This window comes from Homo sapiens, chromosome 18, assembly GCF_000001405.40.
Source record: "Homo sapiens chromosome 18, GRCh38.p14 Primary Assembly".
Taxonomy (NCBI): Eukaryota; Metazoa; Chordata; class Mammalia; order Primates; family Hominidae; genus Homo; species Homo sapiens.
In genome coordinates, this window is record NC_000018.10 from 57,940,739 (window position 1) to 57,965,375 (window position 24,637).

The 24,637-nt window shown below is 41.6% G+C and overlaps 1 long non-coding RNA gene across 1 annotated transcript; it reads right to left on the reverse strand.

Annotated features, from left to right (window-relative positions):
- Nucleotides 1-20,497: 20,497 nt before the first annotated feature.
- LINC01897 (long intergenic non-protein coding RNA 1897) lies at nt 20,498-20,889 on the reverse strand. The gene is made up of 2 exons (XR_007066389.1): nt 20,764-20,889; nt 20,498-20,668 (listed from the first exon to the last, which is right to left on the reverse strand). It is a non-coding gene; the product is annotated as a long intergenic non-protein coding RNA 1897 (long non-coding RNA).
- Between the last annotated feature and the right edge of the window lie 3,748 nt (nt 20,890-24,637).

Here is a 24,637-nt window from a genome sequence, read left to right on the forward strand (position 1 = left end):
CCAATATGGCTTTGTCAAATTATTCCAACTGTGAAGTCTCATGGGTCATGGTAAGAAATAATTTCTCTACTGACCACAGTTGAGAAATCCTAAAGAAATGAGGAAGATGGGCAGGAATAATCAGAGTTATCTCAATAGCCTCCTCCTCTGCATTAAATTTAGCAAAGATCATTGCTTTAGACAACCCAACCCTCTTTATTTGATTCTTTTTACACGGATTGATTTCCAAGATCATACATCCTCATGCTCAGCCCCAGAAAACTGATTGCATTGGTGTTTTTAGAATTAATTTATGGGCCTCTAGGGGCCTTCAACACTGTCTCCTTTGCTCAGGTAACACAGGAACTGGCTGAGATTTTGCAGCAGACAGATGTTGTCTGGAACGTAAAACAAAATGCCTATGCTACCAAACAAACGCAAGGTTTGAACAAACAGAACATACATTATTTTTACCATATGCATAGCAAGGGGGAACGAGGTAGCTTCGTCTAGCTTTGGGACCAGAAGCATTTTATTTTTTATTTTTATTTTCATTTTTATTTTTTTGAGACAGAGTCTTACTCTGTCGTCTAGGCTGGAGTGCAGTGGTGCGATCTCGGCTCACTGCAACCTCCCCTCCTGGGTTCAAGCAATTCTCCCTGCCTCAGCCTCCTGAGTAGCTGGGATTATAGGCATGCGCCACCATGCCTGGATAATTTTTGTATTTTTAGTAGAGACGGGCTTTCGCCATGTTGGCCAGGCTGATCTCGAACTCCTGACCTTAGGTGATCCACCTGCCTCAGCCTCCCAAAGTGTTGGGATAACAGATGTGAACCACTGTGCCCAGCCAGCATTTTATTTTTGTTTGAAATTACTATATTAGCTCAGAATCATTTACTTTTTAAGAATAGTGTATATGAATCACCTTAGAGATCAATTTGGAGCATAATTGAACATTTTGAATACATTTATGCCCCTTAGAGATACTTGGTAGATACAAATTTAACTTCCTTTTTCCCTCAATCTAAAACTTCATAGAGAACCTGAAGACCAGAAGGAGGGTAAAGTGTTGCTAATTTTTATCTTGTCTTAGTAATTGAATTAAGATGAACAAATCTCAAAATGCACCACAAGCTGTAAGATAAATACCTAGGAGAATAGAGTTTCAAAAAGAGAATTCTTGCAACAGCGTCGTTAAGAAAATTAGCCTGATTGTAAATATTACCTATTGAATCCGTCCTTATGTAACTTTGTTAATCACACAAACAGCCACACATCCATATTCAGAAGCTAAAAAGAGAAAACAGCATATGGCTGACAAAAGGCGTGTACCCAGTGCAAGATTTTTCAAAGAGCACGTTCCCAGCAAACACAATGTCCTGCTAGCAGTTCCAAAAGGCTTAAAGTAAGGCATCCTGGGGTCCAGGGCCAGGGAGCTGCAGGGATGGGCCCTCCACCTGCCTTGGCTGTCCAGGGTGGGAGGCCACTGGCCTCTTTCCAACTTGCCCTGAATTCTTGCATCTTCCCTGGTTGCTCAGCTCCACTCAGCGTAGAGGTGGCTAACCCCAGGACCTGCTGACACTTGTCAAATACGTCACTACCTATTATTCATTCTCATAAGGGAGAAATTTCCAGCACTTATTGCAGGGATAGGAAGTTAACAAACTGGCAGGTGAATGAACCTGCTGATTACGTGCTAAAAATCAGTATTTTTTGTTCCTCTTCTCGCATTTCTCATCTTATACTGACATGATACAAGGGTATGTCAGGGAATGGGTTTTCCGCCACTTCTCTGCCAGTTACAAACTGTGATTCAGAACCTGTCCCCTACACATATGAGAGCTTAGTTTCCTCTTTTGTGAAATGAAGAGGCAGGATTAAAGGATCCCTGGGGACCATCACAGCTCTAACAACTCAGGAACTGGGGCTGCACTTCACACCTTAGAGGAGAATTCCTTTAGGGGGATTAAAAGCAGCCCAGACATGTGGTCTCTACAGTAAGAACAATGAAAATGCTTATTTCAGAACCCAAACCCCCCTCCTGATGAATTGTCACTCTCCTGTCAGGCCAGCACACAGCATTTTCATAGGGCTCCTTCCTCCTTAGAGCACCTTCACTCCCTCATCCAATTACCTTTGCTTCATATCTAAGTTCAATTAAAATAATTAAAGCAGCTAGCAGATAGTTGATGGGGAGGAAAGACATGGACAATTTCCTGGAAGAATTCTTTAAGGGGCAATATAAAAGACCAAGGACTGTGAAAAGTAGAATTTTTCTTACTGGAATTCCCCCGTCTGGGAGCCCATGCACTTCCCAGATGTTTCCCATGATTTTTATGGGTGCCACAAGGAAATTAACCAAGCAAGAATGCCCAGTTACTTCTCTATGCAAACGAAGAGCAGCTCATGCAAAAATAGCCATACCCCACTGTTCCAGTTATCTATGGCTGCCTAGAAAGCTAACCCAAAATATACTGGCTTCCAACAGCAACCTTTTATTTTATTTCCCAATTACGTGTATCAAGAATTCAGTCTGAGTGTGGCTGGGCGATTTGTCCATTCTACACGTCAGCCACAGAGGTCATTTAGTAACTGCTGGATGAACTGGTCTGGAGACCCCAAGATAGCTCATCCTGTGTGTCTGCTGCCTTGCCAGGGATGGCTGAAAGGCTGAGCTCACCTGGAGCACCCGGGCTCTGGTGGCTTAACTCTAATAGTCAAATCCTATTTGAATTTTCTCTTTGCTACTTACCCCAACCTCTCCCTCCTTCTCCTCATTTTTCTTTTTGTATTTATAATGAATATTATGATGTCTATCCTAGTCTGCTTGGGCTGTATAACAAAAGTAGTATACCATGGGGGATGTAAGAGCAAACATCTATTTCTCACAGTACTGGTGGTTGAGAAGTCCAAGATCAAGGTGCCAGCAGATTCGGTGTTTAATTTGAGCTTACCTCCAGATTTGCATCCTCACATATTTCAGAGAAAGGTCATCTCTCTAGTCTCTTCTTTATAAGGGCACTAATGTCATCAGAAGACTCTGCTCTTATGCCCAAAGGCCCCAGCTCCTAATACCATCACACTGGGGATTAGGCTCCAACATGTGAATGAGGGGCAGATGGTACAAACATTCAGGCCACAGCAGGTGTTCTTTTTATCACAAAGTACTACATGCTTACTGTAGAGAATTAAAAATAAAGAAAATACAAGGAAGAAAATGACTCATACTGCCACAATCTAGAAATAACCACAAGTAACGTCTTTCCATTCTTTCTTCTGTGTCATGTACTTAGATTTCAAGTTTAGATGATATTTAGTTCATGTCTTGCTTTTAAAATAAACAATCAATGACTATTTTCTTAAGTGATCAAATATCCCTTGCAAACACTGTCATTACTATTATTATTATTATTTTGAGATAGGATCTTGCTGTGCCACCCAGGCTGGAGTGCAGTGGCACCAGCATGGCTCACCACAGCCTTGAACTCCTGGACTCAAGTGTTTTCTCCACCTCAGCCTCCTGAGTAGCTGGAACTTTATAGGTGCATGTCACCATGCCCAATTAGTTATTTAAATTTTTACTAGAGACAAGGTCTTGCTACATTGCTGGTGCTGAACTCCTGGACTGGTGCTGAACTCCTGGACTCAAGCGATCCTCCTGCCTCAACCTCCCAAAATGCTGGGATTACAGGCATGAGCCATCATGCCCAGCTGCAAATGTTATTTTTTAATGCTCACATACTACTTCATTACATGGAATGCCATAATTTATTTATCAATTTCCTAATTGTAGTACACTTAGATTGTTTTCAAGTTCTGGCTTGGGTAAGTAATACTCTGAACACTTACACATCAACTTTTGTTCGCATTTTAAATTATTTCTTTAAGGGAGATTCTGACAAGTAGAATTCCTGGATGAATCCTCTCACCTTGAAAGTCTTCCTTCCTTTGACTTGTGAGTCACTTTTCCTCCAGGATCCCATTATCTCAGATAAATGCTTCCTAACATAAGCCTTCATGTTTTCTTCTGCATATGGCTGGTTGTTAAAGCCATGGAACCTGGTAAGATGTGCCAAGAGGGTTTAAAACTCTAAAAAAGGCAAGAAAAAGATGGTTTTCAAATGGCAAAAATGTGTTTATAATAAACCCAAAGAAGTAAATACAAAAGTTAGTAAAGACTAAAAGTTCAATAAAATGTCTGGTTATGAGAGCTATCTCCAAATTTCAGTTCCATACCAAAAAAAAGAAAATATAATTAAAATATGATGATGTTTTTAAAAGCAGGCAAAAATATAAAATGCTTGGGAACTGACCTAATGCAACTGGAGCAAAGTACCATGTTCCTTAAAGGAGAGAGAAATACAGTAAACATGATAATTCTCTCCAGTTACATGTCAGAGTTTTAACACTATTCCAGTTAAAATTCTAATCGCTTACTTTATCGAACTTAATATAATAAATCTAAAATTCATTCAGAAAAATAAGGAGAATATTGATGCAAAGAACAGTGAGATACAACTAGCTTTACCTGAAATTGATTTTATTATAATACTGAAGTTGGCAAAATGATATGATTGGTGAACATTTTGTAAGTAATGGAAGTACTTGCAAAGAAAAGCTCTCGGGGGTCATTTTTAACAAACTCAGATCTGGAGAGAGCCTATTCTATTTGTCCCTCTTAAATAAGAAAACATGTTATTTCATGATCTGGAAAGTTCTGGATATTGTCATACCTCTGGGTCCTGGGGAGGCATAGCTACTCACTTTCAGGCAAGTGGGGTATATACAAAATGGATAAAAACCTTCCTGTGGACCTTCCCTCTGGTGGTGGGAAATCCTGTTTAACTCAGGTAGCAGCATCTAAAGCAGTGTTGGTGACTAGCTCAGTGTTCGAGGCTTTGAGTTCCAAGACAAAGTGGCCGCTATCCCCCAGGAAAAGGTGGAGATTAGCAAAGAGGTTGTAGAACATTTCTTAGGAGCTCAGGAAGGTAGAAAACAGGGATCTGTCTGTGGATAACAAGGTGGGCCTCAGAGGAAAGTCATGCAACTGGAGTTCAAGTTTACAATGTTTCTACATTATGCCTCTTAAGAGATTTCAGGGGTAACCATGAACCTCAAGGACAGCTCTGGTGGTAGAGCTATGGCTGGAAGAGGAGCTGGCCATCACTAACCAAGACCGTCAAAGAAGCCACAGGCCTACCGGTTGTCTTCCTGGAGAATTTGAGGGCAGGTGAGTGCCAGGTTTTTGGGAACCAGGTTGGATCACACCTAGGTTGATCCCAGCAATAACCTGTGCCTACCAGAGGGCAGAACATCACTCTTTACCTATTTTCTTTACTGTTTCAAAAGGGAGAGAAAAGGGGAGAAAACACACTCTATACCCTTCCCCATCACAACAGACATCTTTAAAAAAGGAACAGCTTCACCTGTAAGCATAGCACATATTTTAGGAGACCTACATTTCTTCACGTGTCAGATGCATTCTTAACACTGTGTGTGCAAACACATTTTTATAAGAGGGCATTTTCTTTTAAATACACACAGAAGAGCTGACTATATAAGGGAACGCTATGGTGAAACCATTTGTAAAGCAAATAATCACTTCCTGAATAAATCTGTCTCTAAGTCTGGATTTTCATATTTTATATCAGATTTGACTAAAGGAAGTGCTCTCTACAAATGTATCCTCTGTCCAAATTAGAATTTATCTGTATCCATGCAACCTTCAGAATATAATTTCCATAATAAGTCACCAAATGCACATGACAGTCCAACTCCATCAATAACTTTACCTCTTTTTTGCCTTTTATTCATACTTTAGAATATACAGGTATCTGTCTTGGTTAGTCCAGGCTGCTATAACAAAGTACCACAGTCTGGGTGGCTTATAAACAACAGAAAATTATTTCTTACAGTGCCAGAGGCTAGGAAGTCCAAAACCAGGTGCCAGCATGGTTGGTTTCTTGTGACAGCCACTTTTCAAGTTACAGACTGCCAATTTCTTGTTGGATCCTCACGTGGCAAGAAAGAGAGTTAACAGAGCTCTCGGGGGTCATTTTCATAAGGGCACTAATCCCATTCATGAGGGTTTTACCCTCATGTCCTAATCACCTCCCAAAGGCCCCACCTCCTAATACCATCACCTTGGCAGTCAGGACTTCAACATATGAGTTATAGGAATGCAAGCATTCGGTCTATAGTAATATCTTATTATACAGAGAGTTATGTTTTGCTTCTTTGTAAAACCTTAGGACTTCATCCACAAAAGAAGGATGCAAATGGCCATTAATATGTGAAAAGAAGCTCAGTCTCACTAGTAATCAGAAAATGCAAATTAGCCAAAACCATGTACGAGTTTTACTCATCATACTAGCAAGATATTCATAATATCAAATATTGAACAAGCTATGCAGAAAATGTATAAATTGTAACAGACTTTTTTGAAGGACAGTTTGACAGTATTGGTAAATGTTTTAAATACACATACCTTCTGACCCAGCAATTTCACTTCTATGAATTTTCCCTACAAACATGCTTGTGCAGGTGCACAAAGATGCAAGTATAAGCTTGCTCATTCTGGCACAGTTTGCAAAAACAAAAAAGCTGGGCAACAAATATGTCTCATAGTAGAAAACTGGTTAAGGAAATAATGTCCAGGCTGGGCACGGTGGCTCATGCTTGCAATCCCAGCACTTTGGTAGGCCGAGGTGGGCGTATCACTTGAGGCCAGAAGTTTGAGACCAGCCTGCCCAACATGACAAAACCCTATCTCTACTAAAAACACAAAAATTAGCTGGGCATGGTGGCACATGCCTGTAGTCCCAGCTACTTGAGAGGCTGAGGCACAAGAATCACTTGAACCCGGGAGGCAGAGGTTGCAGTGAGCCAAGATTATGCCACTGCACTGCAGCCTGGGTGACAGAGTGAGCCTCTGTCTCAAATAATAATAATAATAAATTATATCCATGCTACAGAATACTATCCAAAAGTTATAAAGAACATGATAAAGGCAAATGTACTGATATGCCAAGATTTTCAGGACACAGTTTTTTTTAAAAAGCAGGTTGCAAAGCAATGTTTACAGTCTATCTGGTTTATCAAAAAAAATGAAAAATCAAAACACTAAAATTATATAAGAAATACAGGCGGGGCGCAGTGGCTCACGCCTGTAATCCTAGCACTTTGAGAGGCTGAGGCCAGTGGATCACTTGAAGTCAGGAGTTCGAGACCAGCCTGGCCAACATGGCAAAACCCCATCTCTACTAAAAATACAAAAATTAACCAGGTGTGGTGGCATGTGCCTGTAATCCCAGCAACTCAGGAGGCTGAGGCATGAGAATCACTTGAACCTGGGAGGTGAAGGTTGCAGTGAGCTGAGATCATGCCACTGCATTCTAACCTGGGCAACAGAGTGAGACTCCATCTCAAAAAAAAAAAAATTAAAAAAAAAAAGAAATACAGGTGATAGACAGATAGATTTAGTTAAATGTAAACACATATTAAGAGGCTGATAGGAATATGTCTTAAAATGCTAAGTGGTTAATCTTTGAAGACTGAGTGGAATGAAAGAAGTAGAACTATACTTTTTAATTCCATCTTTTATATTGCTTGATTTCTCATAAAGGGCCTATATTTATGTCACAGTATATAATTGCATAAATTTTAATTTATACAAAATTTAGGACATTTGTTATATAATATGTAAAAGGGGAAAAATCACTACTAAAATACATGCTTAGTGATATACATACTAGGTGGAAAATACTAGAAACCCTCTCCTTGCACCTGATTCTTTCTCATTATTGTAGGAAAGCTAATCTTCAGTTCTGGGAACCTTGCAGGAATTCTGTGCACTAAAGTTCCCAGGGAAAGAGAATGCTCTTTTTCATCTTTACTGTTCCACTACCTTAAGAAAAATGAGCCCCAGAGGATTGTACTCTTGCATACCTGGGGAGGCTTCCTGCCAACTGAGCAGGGTTTCCAGGTAAGAAAGGGCATTGGCTGGATGTAGGAGAGGGCAGAGAGCTTGTCTCTACTAGAACCCTCAAATGGTGTTGGGGAAACTGTTCAGTAGGCTGGACATGGGTTAAAGAGAGAATCATTGGCTTTTTTACTTCTTCATCCCCCTTTCCAATTTCCTTCCTACTTTGCAGTCCATCGATTTCCAACTTCTCCCTGTTCTTTCCCATGCCCAGTTTTCTCACAAACTCAAAGTGAAAGCCTTGCCCAGCCAAGCCTTGTGCTCGAGGACCTACCTTCCCCACCCTCCCCTCCATCATTTTTCTTCCCTCATTTACTACTAGTGTAAAGGGATTTCCTATAAGGGTGCTCTAGCTAATCTAACAAGCCAATTCATGCTTAGATGTACTGATTTGAGCAGAGACAGCCTCCCATACCTCCACCTCCATATTTACTTAAGAATCACCTTTGGCTGCCCATCAACGGTAGATTGAATAAAGAAAATGTGGTACATATACAACATGGAATACTATGCAGCCATAAAAAGAACAAAATCATGTTCTTTGCAGCAACATGAATACAGCTGAAGGACATTATCCTAAGAGAATTAATGTAGAAGAAGAAAACCTGGCTGGACATGGTGGCTCAAGCCTGTAATCCCAGCACTGTGGGAGGCCAAGGCAGGCAGATCACTTGAGGTCAGGAGTTCGAGACTAGCCTGGCCGACTTGGTGAAACCCCTTCTCTACTAAAAATACAAAAATTAGCCAGTTGTGGTGGCACACATCTGTAATCCCAGCTACTAGGGAGGCTGAGGAAGGAGAATCGCTTGAACCCGGGAGGTGGAGGTTGCAGTGAGCCAAGATTGCGCAACTGCACTCCACTTGGGTGACAGAGTGAGGCTCTATCTCAAAAACAAACAAACAAAAAAGAAACAGGAAACCAAATATTGCATGTTCTCACTTATAAGTGGGAGGTAAACATTGGGTACACATGGGCATAAATATGGGAACGATAGACCCTGGGGACTACCAGAGGGAGGAAAGAAAGGCGGGTGGGGGAAAAGGTTGAAAAACTATTAGATACTATGCTCCCTACCTGGGCAATGGGATCAACCGTACCCTAAACTTCAGCATCATGCAATATACCCATGTAACAAACCTGCACATGCACCCTCGAATCTAAAATAAATTGAAATTATTAAAAAAAAAAAAGACAGCCTTGGCATTAAGGTATTAGAAACATGGAGAGTGAGAATCTAAAGCAATAGACCTGCCCCACATGCTGGAATTGGGGTGTTCTCTGGGATGACCTGGCTATCCCTGAGATCCTATCAGAGAAGGAGAGAATCTGCTCCACCTTTCAAGTCATGTGATAGCAGAAAGACCACTTTCCAAGGACCAAACTCACAACCAAGTTCCTACATTTCAAGGTCAAGTCTTTTTTCTTGGGGCATATCAGTCTCATCACTTCTTCAATGAAGAGGATTAGGCCAGATAATCACTTCTAGCTCTGATGTCCCATCATTTTATTATTTTTTTTTAATCTGTTTTCTTCCTGACAGCATAGGAAGGATCATTTAGCCATTAGACCATTTAGCATAGGAAAGACCATTTGCTGTGGGAGGGAGTATAGTGTAATGGTTAACTACCTAGGTTCAAATCCCATGCCTTCCCTTACTAGCTATGTGTCTTGGGCAGGTTCTTTGACCTCTCTGAATTTCAGCTGCCCCATCTATATAATGCAGCTGAGAAAGTCATCCACTTCCTGAAACTGTGGAGAGCTGAAAGACAGAAGGAACGTATCGCAGCATCTAGAACCAAAGAAAATCTCTGTGCTCTTGGATACAGCAGTAAGGATACACATCTCAGGGTTGAATCACTTTAAATAGTTATACTTAGATAATATTTCACCACTTATAAAAGTAGGCACACAAGCCCAAGTTCATTAGATTCCTTAAATAACACTTTGAGGATGTGGGCAGGCATGAGCATCTCCATGACATGAGTAAGATAACCAAAGCCTAGGGTGTTAGCTAGGGTCAAATACTGGGAGGTTGTGAAGCCAGAACACAGAAATGTCATTCATTGTTCATTTATTCAAAACATGTGAGGGCCCGCTTTCTGTTGGACACTGTGCTACGTATAGGAGTAGAAAGATGAGTAAGGCCAGGTTAGAGGAGGAGGTAACAGTTTCCCATGGCAGAGCTACAAGGGTAAGCCTGTTACAGTGCAAGAGCTAGACTTTGGAGTCACCTGTCCCCTACCTGAATCCTGGATCCAGCACTTAGTAGGGTATTACTGGGGCAAGTTACTAACAGCTCACTGCCTCAGTTTCCCCATCTTTAAGGTGCAGACATGATGTTTACTTGAGGCTCAGCAATGCAGGAGTGTTGTGAGACAATTTTTCTTGCTGACATGCAAAAGTACTTCCCAACAATATCATCGTGATGAATTCACCATCGTCCAGGTTAGAGTCTTCAGCATGGAAATCTTCAATCCCTGGTTTTCTCGGTAGCGTGAGGTCCAGTTCTTAGGGGAGTCCTTATAATTAGCCAATCCTATGGAGACTGATGGTGAACTTCCTTGGTAACTCATAATTCATGATGACAAATAAAATGACTTATGTCTAAAAATACTCAAGTCATGATGAAGAGTGCATGGTCCGTGACAGGCAAACCAAAACTAAAAACAAATGAGCTACGGGAACTGAGTGCTTAATGGCATCAGATCTTTTTACTAAATATGTTTATTTCCACAACAGAGAAGTTGCTTCCCAGTGGCACACCCAGATGCTTCATGGAAGGGCACACCTCTGGGGTGGTGCTGGGTTCAGACTGGCATGGTATCCACACTTCTCCTGATGCTAGCTTTCTCTAGGCCCTCTGTTAGCTCGTCCCGCTTCTGATGGACACATTTTTTTTTCCCTTTGCTATGTCAACACCATCACTATGATCTCATCCATCAGGTATATTACTAAGCAAGAAAAGAGGCTCTGTCTTCTAAACAATTCAAATAAGACCTGGTACCTCTTCCACACAACAGTTCCTTAGGTGTTTCTGCAAACTCTAAGAGTGCCTTCAGATGACACCCTTTCCCCATCACCCCCCTAGGAGGCAGAAACACCAAACAGAAGCTACCAAAGTGGCCAGACATGGTCCAAAGCTTTCACAGCTGGGAGTTCTGAGAGTTGGAGCAGAGACTTTGCAGCCAGGGGAGATGATATATTAACATATATCTGAGTATTGATATATTTGAATTTTTCAAATCCCAGAACGTAAAGGGTCCACTATGAATTTGCGTTCCCTCTTCCATGTATAAAACCAGATCTGCCCAAGATAATATTTATTTTCACACATCATTTGGAAGTATCTGTTTCATTTCATTATCTATGTTGAATGAAAAGGTTATGTCATTTGGACTTGAGCCTGAGCAGAGAGTGCCCTGTCATTATAAGGCTGTAAAAACAACCTCCTCTTCCTCCTCTCCACGCTGTGTTCCCTGGACATCTACCTGTTCCAGGTTTAAGTTCTGGGCTAGGTCAGTGACGTCTGAGAAGAGAGACTTCAGGGTGCCTCTTGCCCTCTTGTTAAGCAGAGCATGGTATAAATACCTCAGCAGCATTCTGGACTAAAGCTCTGTCAAAACAACTGCTACTGAGTCGTTTAATTTGTGGAAAGGAAATCTTATTTGGAAAAATAAAGTTCTTAGTTCCTTGCAACATTCTTACACTGCGGTAGGGCTCAGAATGCTGGAGAAAGCACTTCGAGACCTGAAACCCAGCCCTGTTATTAGTAATTCATTTGCTTTAGGACATGTGGGAGAAAATGCATTCCTTGGCTTTTGGGTCCAGGTAGGCAGCTCTGCCAGCAACAACTTGGAAACACTTTGGAGCTGAGTGCTTTGTGGGCTGCGGCAGCGTGGTAAGGAGGCTGCCCTCCTGCCGAAGCTGCGAGGGCAGTTGGAAAGGCGCTTATTTTGTCTGGTAAAAGCAAATTTCCAGGCTTAGCTAAGCATGTTGTGCAACCTAGCCCCACTGAATGCCTATGGGAATGCTCTAAGATGCCCAGTGAGCATTTCTTTATGCAACAGTGCATTTTCATTTTCAACGTAAGACTCTTTTGAGCCCAGTTCTTGTATCTAAAGGTCTTATGGTGTCAGGGCCACGAGATTGTGTGGGGCCTATGGGTCACAGGTTAAAATCTAGAGTGGGTTCCTGTGCATTCTCAGTATATTCTATGCCAGACTATGGAAATGAACCCTCTACAACAGGAGACACCATTACTCAGTAAATGCACATGTAAAATAATCAGATAATCCGTGAGTCATCAATATTTATTCAATTGTTAGTGGTAATAGAGAAGAACAATACCATAACTCACCTATTTTGGACACTTAGGTATCCAACAAACACTTTTCATTAGTCGATTATTATACAAATCAGTGGCTGATAATAGAAATTCACTCATCATTTATCTTTAGGCTAGGATTGCATGATGTGATAGCCTCCCACAGTTCACGTGCCTTCTTTTTTTTGAGACAAAGTTTCACTCTGTTGCCCAGGCTGGAGTGCAATGGCACAATCTTGGCTCACTGCAACCTCTGCCTCCTGGGTTCTCCTGCCTCAGCCTCCCGAGTAGCTGGGATTACAGGCAAGTGCCACCATGCCTGGCTAATTTTTTGTATTTTTAGTGCAGATGGGATTTCACCATGTTGGCCAGGCTGGTCTCAAACTCCTGACCTCAAGTGATCCACCTGCTTCAGCCTCCCAAAATGTTGGGATTACAGGCATGAGCCACCGTGCCCTGCTGGTATGCTCTTTTAAAAAAAAAATTTTTATTTTTAATTTTTGCAGGTACATGGTAGGTGTATATATTTATGGGGTGCATAGATGTTTTGATACAGGCATGCAATGCATAATAACCTCATCATGGAAGATGGGGCATACATCCCCTCAAGCATTTATCCTTTGTGTTGTCCAGGCTGGAGTGCAGTGGCGTGATCTTGGCTCACTGCAACCTCCGCCTCCCAGGTTCAGGCGATTCTCCTGCCTCAGCCTCCTGAGTAGCTGGGATTACAGGCGTGTGCCACCAGGCCTGGCTAACTTTTTGTATTTCTAGTAGAGACAGGGTTTCACCGTGTTAGCCAGGATAGTCTCTATCTCCTGACTTCATGATCTGCCTGCCTTGGCCTCCCGAAGTGCTGGGATTACAGGCATGAGCCACTGCACCCGGCTGGTGTGCCCTTTTAAAAAATATTTTGCTCAGGCTGTTGCTGAATGAGCTTGCATTTCTCAGGATGGTACACACAAATTAATAGCATAGAAAAGTGGCCAGGAAGTGTGCTGCATCTGAAGAGGAATCGAGTTTGAGAGTAACCCTTCTACAGCACGTGTTGTACAAAGTCCTCATGGCTCCACCCGCGGGATGCTCAGAGAGCCCTTCTCTGCACAACATTTCTTACACTGCCTTCCTGCCAATACCCCAGGGCACAAGCACCTGGTTTTTTCACCCATTCAGCTTGCATTATTGTAGCACTTTGATTCCAAAACACAAAAAAAGTCTTTCATATATTTCTTTTTATTGATTCCCCCAACAAGCAAGTAAAAGATGTGAAGTCACATATCACTTTCCATCAAGAGACAGTGGTCACTGATTAGTGGATCAGTCCAAGGCCAGTGCTGTTCACGTGTCTATCCGTGCTCCCCTTGAAGGGCAGGATTGAAATCATGCTCCTCTAGTTTTTAGACATCTAGCCAGAGGAGGGAAGAGTGCCCAGAACCTTAACATTCAACTCAGAATTCACCAGGACCATGGGAAGCCCAAGCCCTTCCAGGAAGATTCCCTGAGCCCTTTGACCTCCCTGATGTCTCCCTTTCGTGGTCTCCTACTGCACTTAGTGCTCTGCACCCCTTCTCAGATGGTGACTTCAGTCTCATCCTGTCCTGTAACGTTTTCATGAGTGTTTGTCTTCATTCAGCCATGGGATACAATGTTATATTGGGTGGTCAGCCCTTTTTGAAGGGTTAACATTGGACTGAACCTTCAGTGATTAATATCACCAATTGGGATCCTTAGGAAACAGACTCTGGAATGAAGATTAGCACACAGGAGGTTCTCAGGGAGTGCTTGTGGGATCAGCGCCCATGGAATGGAGAGGAAGGAAGTGGCATTGGGCAGAGGGAGAAGCTGAGCTATGAAGGCCTCAGCCGACCCCGCAGGGGGCTCTGGAGCTGAGATAGCTTTTTAGAGTTGCCCTGAGTTGGGGCAAGGGGACAGGCACCTGCTCATGAGATAATCAGTCATTGGATGGTGGCTCCTCCAAAAAGGAAGCATGACCTTGGGAGGGGCATCTCTCTTTGGCAGAGGCAATGCCAGAAGGCGGCTCACAGCTGAGGGCTATCTGCCGGCAACACTTTGAGCACCTAGGGGAACAAGTTCTTCATTTCTGCAGAGGAATCTCAGCACTGTGATATAGCAACCATAGCAACGAAACACAAACATAGAAAGGAAAAGTATTCCAGGTAGAGGAAACAGCAAATACAAAAGCCCTATGTTGGGACAAAAGGAACTTTCTATCCACCCTCTGAAGGTTTGCTCTCTGAAATAGACTTGATTTTAGACAGACGAACAGGAGAAAAGGCATACAAATTTATTAACATGCAAGTGCACATAAGCCACACAACGTGTGAAACTCAAAGAATGGCCAGATGGTTGAAGTTTAAATATCTTCTTCATAGGGGAGAGGGAAGGGAGGATATAGGCAATTTTAGAGGAAGAGCAAATGATTTTTAGGGGAGATGAATGGGCTTGAATAATAGGCAATAGCGTGGGCTCTGGCTATGGAGTCTACTCTAGTCCTTCTTCCTGCAAAGATATCCGGTTGATGAGATATCTGGGGAAGGAATTCCCAATAATTGGATATCTTCTGGAGGATCTGGCATTTAGGTAGATAGGGGAACTTTAGGGAGACCCTCCTCTCCCCACCATATTTGCTGCTTCCCAGATGCACTCAATTTGAAGTCCAAAGTGGCATATTTGACACATTTTGGGGTATCTATTTTTTTCTTTTTTTTTTTCATTTAGGAAGAGGGTCTTGCTCTGTTGCCCAGGCTGGAGTGCAGTGGCCCCATAACAACTCACTGCAGCTTCAAATTCCCAGGCTCAAGCAATCCTCCCATCTCAGCCTCCCAAAGTGCTGGGATTACAGGCATGAGCCACTGCACCTGGCCTGGGGTATCATTTTCTAAACCCCAACAGTACAACAAGAGTTAGCTTGGCATGTGCAAGCAATGGGAAGAAAAAATACAAATCCATCACTAGGAATGTCACAAAAGACAGGGAGCGAAGAGAAGGCAGGAGCTGATTGTCCATGAGTTCAGTATTTATTCTAGTAGCAGTGGGGAGTTTTTTGAGGGTTTTAAGCAGAAGAGTAACAGGATTTATTTATACTTTCAAAGATTGCCCTGGCTGCTGTATGTGGGCCATAGGGGTGAGTGTACAGCGGGGAGACAGCAGGGCACAGTTGTAGCAGTCAGGGTATGAGGCTACAGTAACTTGGATGAGGGTTATGGCGGTGAAGCTGATGAGGAGTGGCTGAATTCAGGATTTATCTTAGGGGATAGAGCCAATAGGACTTGCTGATAGGTCGAATGTAGGATATGAGAGGGAAAGAGAACTAAAGATGACTCCTAGGTTTGTAGCCTGCCCAACTGGGGAGCTGGCTGGAGCATTAGCTAAGATGGGGAAAACTGGGAAAGAAAGAGTTAGGGTGTGGGTATGTGTGGAACGGAAGGAAGATAGAGGGGCAAAGAAGGGCTCAGGATTGTTTTGAATATGGTAAGTCTGAGATTCCTGTCTTAGTTTTTGTTCCCAGAGAAAAATTCTGAGATAAGAGTTTGAATGCAAGTTTATTTCGATAGTTTATTGCATTTATTGTTATGCAAACAATATTGCAATAAACTTGGATCCTTGGAGGCGAGCCAAGGAAACACAGATTGGGTGATGTGGAAGTAAGACAGGGAAGAGAGGGCAGGCAACAAGGGGTGAGTTTATTTAAAAAGACACCAGTGTATATACCAGTGGAGCTTAATACTGCTGGAGAACTCTGGGAAACAGTACAGAGCATGTGCCTAACAGTGGTTCCCTGGGAAAGGTAAGGAGGCTGGGGTAATTATCAACCACTCCCGTCAGTGCTCTGGGATTAATTGATTCCTTGGGGTGATTGATTCCTTGGCACTTGTGCCATGTAGGCTGGAGCACAGCAGGCTCTGACAGCCAGAGGACATCCCAGGCAAAGAGGCAGGGGCTGGCAACTGGAAGCCAGGCTGGTGGGCACTGAGATGGCAAGGGCTGAAGGGATACTGGTGGGCAAGAAGAGTTTCATAGTCAAGGCCTGATTAGGACACCAGATAACACAAGGAGAGGGGCTGGTATTCGGGGAGGTCAAGTGCAAGGGCCAGTATCACAGTTCAGTCTGGAGTCACAAAGAGAAGACAAGCAGTAGGTGAGGCAGCAGTTAGATCAGAATGACGCCCATGGACAGAGCTTATGGGCACTGGCACATCTTTTGAAGACCCTGAGTCAATATTAAGAGTGGACATCTCCAGTTCTAGAATCTCAGTGGATTGATTGAGATTGGGTGCATCATCCAAGGATGTCAGAGTTGCTTCTGCGGGGAACTTGCCTAAAGACTGATTAGGTGACTTTTCAAGGCTGCCTACAAACCTGAGCTTCTATGAGTTCCTCTTTTACAAATGCAGAAATCGTGGTGCAAGAAAGATAAGAAAAACCCTTAGACTCTAAAAGTGTGCTGATGCCCCTAGCTAAAGAACACTGCACACATGAAAGCTCATCGCAGTGACTTTTTCCACAAAGGAGGTGTGAATATTTTATCAATATTCATGAAAAATAATTTTGTAAGGTAAGCATGTCAAAATATGTCAAACCCGAAGGTCACATTTTCCAGAATTCTTTTTGTCCCATATTATGTTTCAATGCAGCATCATCTTTCTGTCCAGCATAAGTGCCCCAGGCAATGGTAATCATTTCATTACTTAATTGAAGTCCTAATTATATTAGGATCTATTGTCAAATGTGGTCCTGTCTTCATTACAACACTTCATTACAACAACCATAAGTAAATGGAAGTGTTGGACTTTTCCTGTAAGAATAGTTGAATTTAACTTCTCAATCTTGCTCTCTTTCTTTCTTTCTCTCTTTCTTTCTTTTTTTTGAGATACAGTCTTGCTCTGTCGCCTAGGCTGGGATGCAGTGGCGTTATCTCAGCTCACTGCAACCTCTGCCTCCTGGATTAAAGTGATTCTCCTGCCTCAGCCTTCTGAGTAGCTGGGACTACAGGCATGTGCCACCACACCTGGCTAATTTTTGTGTTTTTAGTAGAGACGGGGCTTTTCCATGTTGGCCAGGCTGATCTTGAACTCCTGAGGTCAGGCGATCTGCCCACATTGGCCTCCCAAAGCGTTGGGATTACAGGTGTGAGCCACCGTGCTCGGCCAAACTTCTCAATGTTTCATTTCCCACCCCAGCTCATCCTACCTTTCTGAGCTGGTAACCAAATTCAAGGCATGAAGTTTTTTTAACCAAAAAGAGCAAAACCTTTGTAATTTAAATATAATCAGCCTCCCATTTGGGAGATACTCTGCAAACATCTTCATGACACTCTGGGACAGCTGCTATTGTCCTCTTGGCTGCAATCCCTACATTAAAAATTCATGTTTGTGTCCTTTCTCGGTTGTTTGGCTTAGCTTTACTCTTAAAAAGTGTTTATGGGCCAGGCACGGTGGCTCATGCCTATAATCCCAGCAGCTTGGGAGGCCAAGGCAGGAGGACCACTTGAGCCCAGGAGTTTGAGACCAGCCTGGGCAATATAGTGAGACCCTATATCTACAAAAAAAATTAAAAATAATTAGCTAGGCATGGTGGTGTATGCATGTAATCTAACTACTTGGGAGGCTGAGGCAGGAGACTCACTTGAGCTCAGGAGGTGAGGCTACAGTGAACTATGATCATGCCACTGCACTCCAGCCTGGGCAACAGAGAAAGACCCTGTCTTTGAAAGAAAAAAAAAAGTGTTTATGATCCTCCCCAAATAGACTCCATCCTTTTATTTCTCACTGAACTCCCAGACAGAGGTTCTTAACCTGAAGCTCATGAGTCCTGTGAATTTATAAAACAGCTCCAAAGACGCCACAGATACCTCGAAATTATAGAAAATTTGATCTAGCTTTGCATTTGAGCCTCTCCAGGGTAAAAATCTTTCTACAGCTTCTAAAAGGAATAGGTAACCTAAAACCAGGCAAAACAAAACAAACAAACAAAAAACACCCCAAAACTTTGCTGTTTTAAAATCCCCATTTTAAAAAAAGATTATGTAAAAATAATTTTTCTTTTTTCATTTTGTTTTCATCTTTAAACCAGCTCTCCAGAGCCTCAGCCAGGCTGCCTCATCATCGAATCATTCTGAAATATCTTCCACAAACCTTCCCCTTGTATTCATACCAAATAGCTCTCAGCTATACTCCAAACCCATGCAATGAGGTAGAAAATTACTTCCCTCCCCCTCCGATTCTTAAAGTGGTTAATTTTTTTTTCCTGGAATGGACATTATTAATATTTCAAATTTGTTCTCATTGCTTTATAAACTGTAACCATGGATCCAGCTCTAATAAAGATGTCCCAGTGAGTTAATCATGCTAGGGAACAGAAAAACTCAGGGACATTCAGAATCACAGCCAGAAGGGGGCAATCCTTCTCACATCATACCTAAGACTGCAGCTCCTGTCAGGCTGCGTGTTCATGTGTAAGGCACCACAGGCCCCGTGGTGCCAGCTCACCAGCTCATCTTGGTGCCAGCTCACCAGGTCACGTGCTGACTTTACCAGTACATGTATGCTAATTAGTTATCATCCAATTGTTTGCCTTCCTAAAGGAATGAGGGCATCATCTCCTAGAATTTGTCTTCTAAGCTCTTCTCTTGACCCCGGAAAGAAATAGTGGACTTCATTGTTTTAGGGTGTTTCATTTTTGGAACACGAATTGCAGATGGGTTCGTGGTTGGCCGAGAGGAGCCAGGCCGAGAAGTTTGGCTATTTTGTCAAAGGCAATGAGAAGCCACTGAAGGTTTTAAGCAGAAAAGAATTACAGATTTGCATTTGAGAAGTATCAGTTTGGAGAATAAATTAGGGAGGCGTAAGATTTGGAGGCACAGAAGCCAGGTGGAAGGCTGTTTTTCAGGCTAGAAAAGTGGTAGTCTGTTGTAGGTTATATGCAATAGATTTGGAGAGAATGGGTTAGATGCAGGGATGTTTATGAAATGGGAATTGACTGGCTTACTCTGGAGGGGATGGGAAGGGAGGCAGAAAGGAGTCACAGATGACATCTTTATTTGTAGATTGGGTTGGAGTAGATGGTGGTGTCAATTAATGAGATAGGAAACCTAGAGAAGGAGTAGTTTATTTATGGGGGAAAAAAGATATGAGGAATTGAACTTGGGACATGCTGATCTGGAGGTGCCTACAAACCATTCAAGAAAAAGTGTCCTACAGACAATTGGAGATGCAAAGCTTGGAGCTAGGGGAGAGGTCTGGGCTAGAAACACAGGCCCATTCCCTCCATGGAGATGGTAACTGACACCATGAGAGTGAAGATTACCCAGGGGTAGGGATGATGAAGACAGAACAGGGTCCGGGAGGGAACGCTGAGGAAGACCAATATGAAGACATGGATGAACAAAGAGGGGACTAGAAAGAAGTCAGCAGGGGGACTGGAAAGAAGTCAGTAGAAAGATGTGTTATCACACAGGTGAGCCTTGAGGACATTACACTAAGTGAAAAGCCAGTCACAAAAGGACAAATACTGTATAAGTCCACTCATAGGAGACATCTAGAATAGTCAAACTCACAGAAAGTAGACACCAGTTGCGGTGGCTCATGCCTGTAATCCCAGCACTTTGGGAGATCAAGGTTGAGAATCACTTGAGGCCAAGAGTTCAAGACCAGCCTAGGCAACATAGTGAGACCCCCATCTCTGCCAAAAAAAAAAAACTAAAAACCTTAGCCAGGTGTAGTAGTGCATGCCTGTAGTCTCAGCTACTCAGGAAGCTGAGGCAGAAGGATTGCTTGAGGCAGGAGGATTGTTCGAGGTTGCAGTGAGCTGTGATCACACCACTGCACTTCAGCATGAGCAACAGAGGGAGACCCAGTCTTGGAAAAAAGAAACAGAAAGTAGAATGGTGGCTGCCAGAGGCAGGGGGCAGCAGGGAATGGGGAATTGTGGTTTAACAGGTATTGAGTTTCAATTTTGCAAGATAAAAAGAGTTCTGGAGACACATGGTGGTGATGGGTTATGGCCACACAGCAGTGGGGATGTACGGAATGCCACTGGTCTGTGCACTTAAAGATGGTTATGATAATAAGTTTTATGTTTTGTGTATTTTACAACCTTTTAAAAATAAAAAGTGTGTGCTATTGTGGGAGCCAAGATAACAGAGCATTTGGGGGGATGCAGTGTAGTCAGGAAGCATGCCAAAAGCCAAGTATGATTAGAACTAAAACATGTTTATTTATTAATACTTTACCAACGTGGTGACCACTAATGTTCTTTTTAAAAGTAGTTTTCTAGGCATGGGGGGCACAGAAGTCAGGTTTCTATGGATTAAAGACTAGAGGGTTTCCAGTCAAGTTGGCCTTGGAAGTTCAGGTCCTCCTCTTTGCTGCAATATAACAAAACATAAAAACATATAAAAACACATGAAAATATAAAAACAAAACAAAAATATAAAAATAGGCCAGTATAAATAGCACATACACACTTGCTGCAATAAAGCCAAGCTACAAAGGGTTTCCTGACTGCTCTTAAATATTCTCAACAGCATTATGGGGCAGTATTTCCTTGTCCTCAATACAAGACCTGGGCCTGTGGTGAAGTCAACTGTGAAAGGGGAGTGAGGGGAAATGAGAGAGGGAGAGGGAGAGGGAGAGAGAGAGAGAGAGAGAGAGAGAGAGGGAGAAATAAGCCAAAATTCTAAAACATACAAAAACAATTAAGAAAGGCATCCAACAAAATCAACAGTCAAAAGATAAATTCATTCTACATGATTGCAGTAATAAAATATTAAACTATTTAATATATATATATATTTAAGATCTACAGAGTAATAAATGAAGAACTTACATACCTAATAGAAATTTTATCAGGCAATAAAGGGAATAATGAAGAGAATTGTGAAAAGAAATAACAAGAAATATTTGAGGAGAAGATGGCTGAGAATGTTCCATCACCACAAATATGTCCTTAGATCAAAAGTATTCTCCCCATGCCAGAAGGTTAAATAAAAATAAAACCACACCTAGAAATAACATAATGAAACAGCTGAATAAAAATTCCAGAGAGAAAATCTTAGAAGCTACCAGAGAGAAATAGCAGTCAGATTAGCTAAAAGGGAATAGGAATTAAACAGCCCCATATATTTCTCATCAGCAATAACAGAAGCTAGAAGACCATGAGGTGGTATCTTCACAGTGTTGAGGGTAATATAAATGATTTTTCAAGTTATTATTCAAGAAGGAAGACAAAACTAAGACAGCAGGAATGCACCAGCCACCAATATTCCCTATTAAAGGAGACACGTCAGCAGAGAATAATGTGAACCCAAAACAACAGTGTGGGACACAACACACAATTGTGTAGACAGACATCAATAAAATAGTTCAGAAAATCATTGTTTTAAAAATTATCTTTCAGGTTTTAAAAAGGTGGAATTAAAACTCTAGAAACAATTACAAATATGTATGAGAAGGTTCACAGCAGTTTTATTCATAGTGGCTAAAACCCAGAAACAAGACAGGTGTAATATTAATAGGTGAATGGAAAAATAACTTGTGATATATTCATACAATAAAATATTACTTAGCAAAAAGTACACAAAAAGACTGATAGGTGAATTAATATGAACAAATTTTGCAGAAATGCTGAATGAAAAAGCCAGACCCAAAAGTGCACATCAATACTCCATTATTTCATTTATACAAAGTTCAAGAACAGACAAAATGAATTCATGGTGTCAACACAGGGGTTATACTTAGAAGGGAAATATTTGTTGGGATGGATTACAGGAAGTCTGTGGAGTAATGTAAATGTTGTATATCCTGGATTACAGGAAATCTGTGGAATAATGTAAATGTTGTATATCCTTTTATTTTTATTTTATTTTTTTCTTTTTGGGAGACAGGGTCTCATTTAGGATGGAGAGCAGTGGCACGATCACAGCTTACTGCAACCTCGATCTCCTGAGTTCAAGCGACTCTCTGGCTTCAGCCTCCCAAGTAGTTGGGACTACAGGCATGCACCACATCATCTGGCTAATTATTATTATTTTTAAATTTTTTGTAGAGACAGGGTCTTGCTATGTTGCCCAGGCTGGCTTCAAACTCTTGGACTCAAGTGATCCTCCCACTTTGGCCTTCCAACTTGCTGGGATTACAGGCGTGCCCAGCCTATACCTTGATTTTTACAATTCATTGAGCTATATGCTGAATATTTATGCGCTTTATTTTATGTAAATTGTAGCTGACTTTTTAAAAAACCTGCCAGCATTATAAAAATTGTGGGAGAAATAATGGGTACAGTCAGTAAAAGTTGTACAATTGATCATTTTAAACTCATGATCCCTAATAACCAAATAGTGGGAAGTAATTATAATGAAAGAGATGATGTAAGGAGCAGAAGAAAATGCAAACAAACAAATAAAACAAACCTTTCACTTTCATTCATATCTTCAGAAGATAAGAAAGGATGTTGTGTATATGAAGCAAGGTCAGGGACGCTAAACATAAGGAACATTTTGAAAACAACAAAAAAAGAATTGTTAGAAATTAAAAATATAATTTTAAAAACTTCAAGCAAAGTATTGGAGAATAAAATAAAAGTCATTTCCTGGAAATCAGAAAAAAAAGGACAAAGACAAAAATAGGGAAAAATGTAACAAAATTAGAGGATCCATTTAAGAGATCTAACATCTGAATTAGGCATTCTTAACCTGGGGTCCCCAGACTCCTAAAAGGTCTGTGGAATGAGTTCGTTCATAAACCCATATGGTAAAATAATACATCTTTATTTTCCCTAACCTCTAACAAATATACAACATTTCCTCTTTTAAATGTCCAGGCAGCCATGTGTGGCAGCTCATGCTTATAATACCAACACTTTGGGAGGCTGAGGTGGAAGGATCCCTTGAGCCCAGGAGTTCAAGACCACCCTGGGCAACATAGCAAGACCTCATCTCTACAAAACATAAAAACATTAGTCAGGCGTGGTGCTGTCCTTGTAGTCCCAGGTACTTGGGAGCCTGAGGCGGAAGGGTCACTTGAGCCCAGGAGTTCAAGGCTGCAGTGAGCTAAAATGCCACCACTGCACTTCAGCCTGGGAGACAGAACAAGACCCTGTCTCTAAACAATAAATAAAAATAAGTAAGCTGGGCGCGGTGGGTCATGCGTGTAATCCCAGCACATTGGGAGGCCAAGGTGTGTAGATCACTTGAGGTCAGAAGTTTGAAACCAGCCTGGCCAACGTGGTGAAACCCCATCTCTACTAAAAATAAGCCAGGTTTGGTGGCATATGCCAGTAATCCCAGCTACTTGGGAGACTGAGGCAGAAGAATCACTTGAACCCGGGGCAGGGGAGGTTGCAGTGAACCGAGATCTCACCATTGCACTCCAGCCTAGGCGACAGAATGAGACTCCATCTTAAAAAACAAAAACAAACAAACAAACAAAACAGTAAGTAAATATGTAAGCAACAAAGCACAACTTTACTGCAACTTTGTCACCAATAGAAATCATAGGTATTTTACAATCCTATTGCGGTTGTTACAGATATCTTAAAATTAGTTTGCATTCAACTTTATTTAAAAATGGTAGTTTATTAAATTTGCTATTGTCTTATTATTTAAAAACATATATAACTCTATAATGAATTTATTTCTTTTTTATTTTTATTTTTAAAAATTTATTTCTTAATGTTGTGTCAACTGTACCTCAAAAGAAAGTGTTTGTCTTTGTAATCCTATGCATTTTATTTTGTGCATCTAAGAATATTATTGTGAGAAGGGGCTCATGATACAAAAACAAGAGTATTTGATCTGAAAAATATAAGTTCCAGAAGGAAAGTAAGCTATCAGAGACAACTAATTTAAAAAATGGAAGAAGAAAAATATTTTTAGACTGAAGAATATGAATTTCCAGATTGAATGGGGCTGCCCTGTGCTCAGCACAATAAATGAGAAAGATCCACTTCAAGAGCTAGAATAGTGAACTTGCAGTACCTGTGTGATCAAGTAAAGACCCCAGAAATCTTCCAAAGAGGAAACAAAGTGATATATAAAGCACTGGGAAACATGAGGCCATCAGACTTCTCCTCAGCAGTACTGGAAGTCAGAAGACAATGAAGCAAAGCCTCTGAAATTCTAAAGGAAATCATTCCCAATTCAGAATTTTATATGCAGCCAAATTATCTATCTTAATTGATAGTGAGTGTTGTTAACAGAAAAACTTCAGCAGAATAAAATTTAAAAGAGTTTAATTGAGCAAAGAACAATTCGCAAATTGGGCAGCCTCCGGAGCCAGGGTGGGCTCAGAGACTCCAGCACAGCCACGTAGTGGAAGAGGATTTATAGACAGAAAAA